Raw genomic sequence first — 9456 nt, 5'->3', positions numbered from 1 at the left:
TATCAACGTTTCTGGGTCATTGAGAAGCCTAGATGAAACGAAAAATGTGTGAAGTCTAGTTGAGTGCTTGGCCCATGATGAGCCTGTGATGAGCCCTCGCTACTGTTCCCTACCTGGCTTTCTTCTCTTCACAACTCTCTGCCTTGTCTAGCATTTGTTTTCTGTATAGTTAAAAATCTAGGCCAGGTGCGGTGGCTGACACCTGTAATCCCAGCACTTTTTGAAAGGCCAAGGCAGGTGGATCACCTGAGGTCGGGAGTTCGTGACCAGCCTGGCCAACATGGTGAAACCCCATTTCTACGAAAAATACAAAAAATTAGTCAAGCGTGGTGGCGGACACCTGTAACCCCAGCTACTCAGGAGGCTGAGGTAGGAGAATCACTTGAACCTGGGAGGTGGAGGTTGCAGTGAGCCAAGATTGCACCACTGCACTCCAGCCCAGGCAACAAGAGTGAAACTCTGTCTCAAAAAAAAATTTAAAAATCGATTGCTTTTTATTGTGGTAAAATATACATATTTTTAAGTGTACAGCTAAGTGGTATTAAGTATATTCACATTGTTGTACAACTATCACCACCATCCATCTCCAGAACACCTTCATTTGCCTGAACTGCAAGTCTGGACACTTTAAGCACTAACTCCTCATTCCCCGCTCCTCCTAGCCCCTGGCAACCACCATTCTATTTTCTATCTCTATGAATTTGACTACTCTAGGTACGTTTTATAAGTGGACCCATACAGGATTTGTTCTTTTTGACTGGCTTATTTCCCTTAGGATAATGTTCTCGAGCTTCACCCATGTGTCCGAAATTTCCTTTTAAAGACTCGATAATGTTCCATTGTCTACACATACCACATATTGTTTATCCACTCATCTGTCCATGGACTTTGGGTTACTTGCCCCTTTTTTGGCTATTGCGAATAATTCTGCTCTGAAAATGAATGTATAGATATTTGTTTAAGCAACTCTTTTGCTCAAAGGAGAATTGCTGGATCATATAATATTAGGTTGGTACAAAAGTAATTGCAGCTTTTCCCATTCCTTTTAAAGGGAAACATTTTTTGAGGAACTGCTAAACTGTGTTCTATAGCAGCTCTACCATTTTACTTTATATGGTATGATTTTTATGCATTTTTGTTTTTCCTAATTAGATTGCTATCTTCCTGAGATCATTTACCCTATGGCATTCACCTCTGAATCTCTCAGAGCCCCTACAAAATTGCCTCAAGCATTATAGATGCTCAATAAATATGGGAATAAAAGGTTTGTTTCAAGCTCCTGGAAGCTCATCTTCTCCACTCTCAGTGTGTTCCTTCTTCTCATCCTTATTCTTTCCTCAGCTCTCATATTCCATGATTTAGTAGACCTATGCTAATAATTTCCATATCTTTAATGATTTATAGTCTTTGGCCATGCAGCTGTTAAGAGCCTGGACACTGAGGTCAGGAAGACCTGGCCTCAAGGCCTGGCTCTACCACTTACCAGTTGTATGACCATAGGCAAGCTTCTAATCTCTTGTTTCGGATATTTTTTGCTGCATAATGAAACACTTCCAAACGTAGTGGCCTGATCAATGGCTATTTTATTATTTACTAGAATCCTTTGGGTGTACTGGGTCAATTCTTGTATTCCACATTGTGTCAGCTGGGGTCACTCACATGGCTGCGTTCATCATTGAGCTTGGCTAGGTTTCCAGTTACCAAGAAGGCCTCACTCACGTATCTGACACTTCATGTCTTGGGTAGCTGAAATTGCCGGGGGCTGGCTGGGTCTTCCCCTCTTCCTTCTTAGTCTCTCATAAAAATTGGACCCTTTTCTCCATGTGGCCTTTGTCCATGTGGCCTTTCTCTCTTAACAGGTTTTTCAGACTTCCTGACATGGCAACTGGCTTCAAAGAGAGCGGAAATGGAAGTTGCCAGCGTTCTTAAGACGTAAGCCAGAACGAGCATGTCATCACTTCCAATTCATTCTTTTGTTGAAAGCCACCACAGGCCAGCCAAGGCTCAACAGGAGGGGAAATAGACTCCAACACTCAGTGGGAAGAAAGGGCATTTGCATATTGGGATGGAGGAATTCATGGCCATATTTGCAGACAACTCATCTCTAACCCTCAGTTTCCCCATCTGTAAAATGGGAGATAATAATAATAGCTATCTTTGTAAGGCTACAGTGATGATAAAATGTAATAATGCATATAAGATGTGCACTAATTGTGATTCAAATTATTCTTATTTTATTATTTCTATTTTATTCCAAGGTTGATGTTTTTCAAGTTCATTTTGAAATTCCCTTCTCTTTCTTTATTCAAGAAGATCAACACACAGCTAATCATCACCACAAAGAGTACTGCAATCAATATAAGAATACCTACCCTCCCTGGTACAAGCCAAGGCTGGCTTCCCAGGAATCCTCAGGGTTTGCCAGCCTTTGTGCCTGTGCCCCACTTCCCTCTTGAGGTGTGGCTCTTGGACTGAAAGGGCGTGACCATCTTTGGGATCCACTTTTGAAATCCTACAGCTTTCTGCAATTTGTTTTTATAAAATCACATTATGCATCTTGAGAAATATTAATGCCTTCTCTCTTTGAACTTTGAAATTTCTTTCATGAAAGAAAAATAAAAAGCAGAGGTTATTAGGATGACATAATGCACTCACCTCATAATTCAGATATTCAAACAAAAATGATCTTTCTATGCTGATTCGGTCTTCCTCACCAAATCACCCCCTGGGGAGTGGGAGGAAAAAAAATATGCTCAAGAGTCAGCCTGATTTAAAGAGTAGTCTAACATGATCATTTAAGCAGTTCCTTTTAGATGCTGTACCATGTCTCTTGGAGAAGATGCTGTGTCTCTCTGACAGCCTTTCTTCCTCCTGGTTTCCTCCCTGTGATGGTTCCTGGGTCTAAGGGGGCTGGCATGGCTATTGCTGCTTACTGGACAGATGGAAGAGCTAGAGTCCTTGGGCCCTGTCCTTCCTCTGCTTTTCAGGGTAATGTTCCTTGTCTGCCTGCTTGCTGCTTCTTCTACAGGCATCAGAACCTGAAGTCCAAGGCTGGTAACTAGTCATTTCCTCTCTGGGTTTGGGAACGGGGTGCTGCCCTTGCCTTATTCAATCTTGGCTTAGCTTTTGTGGGTGCCATGGCTGCTCTGTGGCCTGGCTATGGCTCCCTAGCTATCCTAACCCAGACAGTCAGTGCTGAGCCCTCTCTCTGGGGCAACCCTACCCTGATATGGTAACCCACTGGCATTCTCCATGGCTCACCTCTCAGCCCCTCTGGGTCCAGCCTCTCTCTGACCACGCTGCCAGTGCCAGCCCCTCATTCTTTCAAAGCTTTTGCTTTCAGAAATAATGCCTTGGTGAGCATATTGTATGTGTCTGTTGCTTTCCAGGAATATATATAGAGAAATAAAATTGTGGGATTTTAGGTTACACACATTTTTATATTTTAAGATAGTCCCATATTTACCTCGAAAGTCACTGTTACCAATTTACACTCTATCTCTCCTCATGCTTGCTAATTCTGGAGATTAGCAAATTGTTTACAGAGTTTGTCAATCTGATGGTTGTTAAAAAGGTATTTTAGTATTGCTAAGCATTTTTTCTTATGTTTATTGACCATAAACATCCTGTGAATATCCTGTTCATATCTTTGACTTTTTAAATCAGGTTGGTTTGTTTGTTTTTTGTCTCTTTTTTTTCTTCTTATAGGTTGATATATCCAGGTGTCTTAGTTAGCCTGGGCTGCCATAACAAAATACTATAGACTGGGTAGCTAGACAACAAAAATTTCTCACAGTTCTGGAGGCTAGAAATCCAAATTCAAGATGCCAGAAGGGTCAGTGTCTGGTGAGGGTTTGTTACTTGGGTTGCAGACAATGCCTTCTTGCTGTGTTCTCATAGGGCCTTTCCTTAGTGTTTGCAAGGAGGGAGGGAAGGAGAGAGAGAGAGAGAGAGAGAGAGAGAGAAGGTCTCTTCCTCTTCTTAGAAGGCCATCAGGCTGCATGGACATGGTAGCTCACACCTGTAATCCCAGCACTTTGAGAGGCCAAAGTGGGAGGATTGCTTGAGCCCAGGAGTTTGAGACCAGCCTGGGCAACATAGGGATACCCCATTTCTACAAAAAACGAAATTTTTTTTAAAAAGGCTACCAGTCCTATTGGATTAGGATCCAACCCTTACGATCTCATTTAACCTTAATTACCTCTTAAAAGCCCTATCTCTAAATATAATCACATTGGGGGTTTGTGCTTCAACATATGAATTCAAGAGAGAACACAATTCAGTCAATAACACCAGGATACCATTCTTTTGCCTGTTATATGTGTTTGCATTATGTATGTGTATGTATACACATACACATATACATCTGCAAATGCAAATATTTTCTCCTAGACCATAACTTTTGTTAATGAAGTCTTTGTCATTGATAAGTTTTTACTTTTGATGTGTCAAATTTGTTCACCTTTTTCTTTGTTTTTATGACTTAAGAAGGCCTTCTATACATGTAAGGTCATGAACATACTATTTGTTCATCTATATTTTAGGAGAACTTGCCTATAAGCCTTTTGAGCCTGATGCCCTTGCATGGACTGGAAGGAGGTACACATTTAAATAACAGTTCAGTTTCTTGAATGGTTTATTAATGTTTTCTTCCCAAAGTTTGGTTATTTATATTTTCTTAGAAAATCCTTTTCGTCTGGGTCTCAAATTCCTTGTTATAAAATTGTGCATAATGCTCCTTTTAAGTGATCTTTTATATCTGTACATATCCCTTTTCATGCCTGATATTGCCTGTTAAGCAATAGGCAATATTGCTTTCTCTTTTTATTAACTATTCTAGCCAAATAATTTTTACCTTAATACAAGGCAAATCTGTGGTTTTATTGATCAATTTTGCTGAGGTTTTTCCTGTTTCATTAATTTCTGCTTCTATATTAATTTATTTCTTACTATTTACTTGGCTTTATTTTGTTTTGCTTTTCAATCTTTTTTATATTTCTAATAAATAAATGTAAGACTAGAGGTTTTTTTCTGGAAATTGCTTTGGCCATATTCCATTAGTTTTGATGTGTGTTACTTTCATTGTGGTCTAGTTCTCAGTGGTTTACTTCCTCTTTAAACCAAGAGGTCTTTAGAAGTGTGTTTTTATAGTTAAGGAGTATAGATTTTTTTTTTTGGCTCCCTGTTAATTTCTAAATTTATTGCATTCTGGCTAATGAATGTGGCCTGTATAAGAACAGTTTTTAAAAATGTGTTGTTATTTCCTTTGAGCATAGAACACAGTCAAATTTGGTAAACTTTGCATGTGTGTTTTTAACTTTTAATAATGGCATAATATTGAATGTTTTTACCTTCCAGTGTTGTAGCTTCTGAGACAGGCAGTTGCATTTGGTAGCAAAACCATTATTGATTCATTTAATCAAAAGGTATTTATTTAGTGCCTGCATGGTCTTGGGACTGTAGGTTGACAGTCTGGTCAGAGAAGCAGACACAGATTACAGTAAAATAATGGGCTGAAGAAAATGCATTTGATTCTCTGAGTGTGTATCATAAAAGACCATGGGCTAGGGAAAGGTTCTCTGCTGTTTGAACAGAGACAAAGGGTGAGTGGACGTTAACTAAGGAAAGGGCTGGGGAAGTGCGGAGAAGAGTGTCCTAGGCCAAACAGCGTGGCGTGGAGCCCTGTGTACAACACGAACAAGGTGTGCTGTCCCAGAAGTGCCAGCCGGTCAACGTAGCTGCAGCTCCCCAAGCAGGGTGTTTGTGGTGCAGAAGGAAGCTGGGAAGTGTGTGTGTGTGTGTGTGTGTGTGTGTCTGTGTCTGTGTGTCTGTGTGTGTCTGTGTGTGTGTCTGTGGCGCGCACGGCGGGAGAGAGGGTGCAGAATACGTAAGGCCTTATAAAGAATTTGTGTCTTTCTTTAAGAAAAAGGAGAAGTCCTTAAAAGAGTTAGGTAGGCTCACAGGATCGTATTTGTGGTTTTAAAGGGAAACTTTGTGAGGAACTCTTAATGTTTGTTTGCTCTGAGGACTTTTTTTAATTCGTTGATGGTGTACATAGAGAGGTTCTATTTCCCGTCTCTCTCCCTGTCTTTAGTGAAGTTGACCTAGTTGTGTGAAGAAAATCATTACCCAGTGCATCTTCTATTAACAGCCTGCAAATTACCCTGTGCCTCTGGAACCAAGTCTGCACTTGTTGTAGATTAGAATAATGATAACAACAATTACATAATAAGAAGATGAGTAACAGCTATCTTTTTTTTTTTTAGCACTTCCTATGTGTCCTAGCTCTGTGCTAAGTCCTCTACAAGTTTTATCTCATTGAATCTTCACTACAACCTTAGGAGACTTTTTTTTTTTGGCTACTGCACATGTCAGTCACCTGCACTCAACAAACAGGTTGCCCTCAGTGGCTTTGATTTGCCCAATATGATTATCCTCAAATACACACACACACACACACACACACACTAGTGTGCACACACACACACACACCTCTGACTGCATCAGGGATGCACCCGGGGCCCAACAGCAACCATTGGCAAGCCAGCAGTTCATAGGGTATCAAAAAACAAAACGCTTTATCCACATTAATTCTTGCTTTTAGAAAGTTCAAGTTGAGAAAATAGAGGAAACCTGTTTTCCTCTATTTCACCGTAGAAACTGAAGTTGAAAGATGAGAAGCCAGAGAGTCCATGGCGAGCCTGAGTGCGTTGAGGTCATGAGTTAAGTCATGGATGTGAGTAAGCCAAAGCCATGAGGGAGAGAAAGGATACCTGGGGTGAGGGAGAGAAACTACTTCATGAAGGAAAGAGAAGCAGATCAAGGGGAGGCCAACACTTGGAGAGTGGTATTAATAGTCACATGGGTGGTGAGCACTAGAGTAAAGATCCACACATTCCTGCCCTGGGGCCCAGTTCCAGTCTCTGAAAGGCCCCCATGCCCTGCTCCGCAGAATGGTTCCTACTCTCAGCTTTCATGGGATGCCTAACCCTCATGAGGCCTCATCAAAACCTCATTACCAGAGTGAGCCTAAAAGAGTCTCTGCTCCATGGGACCCCAGGGACAGTGTTCCCATGTCCAGATAAAGAAACAGATTCAGAGAGGGAAAGTAACTTGCCCAAATTGCCACAGCTAATTGGCAGAGCAGAAACTTGAACTAAAATTAGTGTGATTCTTTTTTTGAGACAGGCTCTTGCTCTGTTGCTCAGGCTGGAGTGCAGTGATGCAATCATAGCTCACTGTAGCCTCAAACTCCTGGACTCCAGATATCCTCCCTCCTCAGCCTCCCAAGCAGCTGAGACCACAGGCGTGTGCCACCACACAGGCTAATATTTTCTTTTAGAGATGAGTTCTCACTATGTTGCCCAGGCTGGTCTTGAACTCCTGGGCTCAAGCAGTGCTACCACCTTGGCCTCCCAAAGTGTTGGAATTACAGGCATGAGCCACCATGCCTGGCTCACTTAGTGTCATTCTAAAGCCCTCATTCTTAAACATACTGTTTATTAAAGCAGCAGAAATTATCTGCTCAAAAATATTTGCTCAGTCTATTAACTTCTCCTTACCTTGAACACAAACACAAGGGACATACGACTTTCATATCAATAAGCCAAGTTATTTGGCATTATTGACATGTTGTTAAATCTTACAGCTTAACAATCTTTAACATAAGAGGACTATTGCTTTTGAGTGGACTGCACAAAAATAGTTTTTCCACCTAGTCAGCTATGGGGTGGGTAGGGAGTGAGAAGCAGCAGGGATACTTTAGGAGATGATAGGTTTATATAGTTTTGTCCAAGAACTGGTTAAAGCCTTGCAGGTCTGGGACCTGATTATCCATTCACTCAGGGAGTGGTCCTGGGAGAACTGCGTTATGCAAAAGAAACTCCCAGTAATCATTAGGAAGTAGATTGCTGCATATCTAGTTTTCGGTAGTGGAGGAACAGAGCTGGGTGCCTAATCAACTCTAATTGTGGTCCTCTACGTAGAATGTTCTCTCCCAAGTGCAGTGGCAAGGGGAGTGAATTCAGAACAATTTTAATGAGTACCTAGAAAGTATGAGGCTTCATGCCTACAGAAAGCGTAAAGGTCAGAACGATAGTTATACAGGCCTGAAGCAGGTTGCTTTCACTGTGACAGCAGGAAATCTCTGAGGCTGCAGCCTCCTGGTAAATACAACAGCCCTTTCCCTCCAGAGATCCTCTCTCTGTGTGTACATGCCTCTCCTGACTTGCCCTTGCCCCAGGTCTTGTGCAGAGGACAGAGGGGACCCTCATCTTTCATGTCGCTTCCCAGCAAGCCCTTGTGTGTCCTGTGCCAATTGCAGCTGAAGATATTTCATTTCCTGATATTTGCCAAATCACCTTTTACCTAGTTCCTGATATTTATTCTGTCAAGATGGGGCACAGCCATGACCCGAGAGACCAGACAGACCCACACAGGCAAGACCGATTAGGCAAAGCCCAGTAAGATGCAACAAACCCCAGTGGCATGTCCCATGAGGGTTGGCAGACTGACAGTGTCACAGAGTCCAATAGCAAAGATCAAAATCAGCCCTGAGGGCGGCCTGAGTTTCCCCAGATCATCACCTGTATTCATCTTCACTATCCCTGTATCCATATGTCCGCTAAACCATTACAGAACACTTCTTTTTTAAAAGTTCACTTTCGAAATTAATTAAATAAAACTTTACATACTTATAGTCTATGAAAAATGACAACCACTTATCAAAATAAAAGAAAGAAGCTTTAAAAATAGATGTAACGATTAGGGTAGAAATCGTTTGTCGACTTTTCTTCTAAAACCGCAGCTCATTGCCACTGGGGCCTGCATCGCCTTGGCCTGGCTTGGGGCTGGAGTGTCTAGGCCTGACCAAGAGAGTCAGCCCTGCTTGTGGGTCCTGTTTCCACCACATGTGGTTGAGAGACTGCGGAGAGGTGACTGGAGCCTGCTTGGGCCTCATTTCCTTCCCTGTCAACTGGGGATAACAATAGCACCTGCCCCTCAGGGCTGCTACAAAGACTGGATGGAATATTGCAATGCAAGCACTCAGCATGAGGCTGTGCACATATTACACCCTTTGGCAGTGCTGTTCATTTTTCCAGAGTTTTCCCTGTAAGTGCCCTTGTGACTATCGATCACAATCTGTATTTGGGAAATGTGGTTTTTATAGGTAAGACCACAGTTCTATTTGAAATAGAAGGCTTCTAAGAAACGGTGAGAAAGGTGTAATTATAGTGTGAATATAGCTAAGGACGAGAAATAGTAAACTAGAACAATGGTCCATAGGGATCAATTAGCTAAAACAAAATGCTTCTTTATGAAGAGAGCCCAGGCCTGCCTCCACCAGAAGGCATTGGCCAGGTTCTTCCAGCACAGCTCATCACCTCAACAGCTCTTCAGAGAAACTTTAGGTTATTAACAGCACAGGCTAGAGGCAAATCAGGTCTGTTTGAGTCC

The 9456-nt window shown here is 42.0% G+C and overlaps 1 annotated feature.

Moving 5' to 3' along the window:
* Nucleotides 1697–2198: an enhancer, noted in NCBI's record as "NANOG hESC enhancer chr1:68104932-68105433 (GRCh37/hg19 assembly coordinates)". NCBI's record gives its function as "activates a minimal SCP1, AML or CMV promoter by ChIP-STARR-seq in naive H9 embryonic stem cells {active_cell/tissue: H9 hESC(naive)}" and the evidence as "EXISTENCE:reporter gene assay evidence [ECO:0000049][PMID:30033119]".

Source organism: Homo sapiens, chromosome 1 (genome assembly GCF_000001405.40).
Source record: "Homo sapiens chromosome 1, GRCh38.p14 Primary Assembly".
Taxonomy (NCBI): Eukaryota; Metazoa; Chordata; class Mammalia; order Primates; family Hominidae; genus Homo; species Homo sapiens.
The sequence above is the reverse complement of the archived record's forward strand: the minus strand, read 5'-3'. Positions and strand labels throughout refer to the sequence as shown.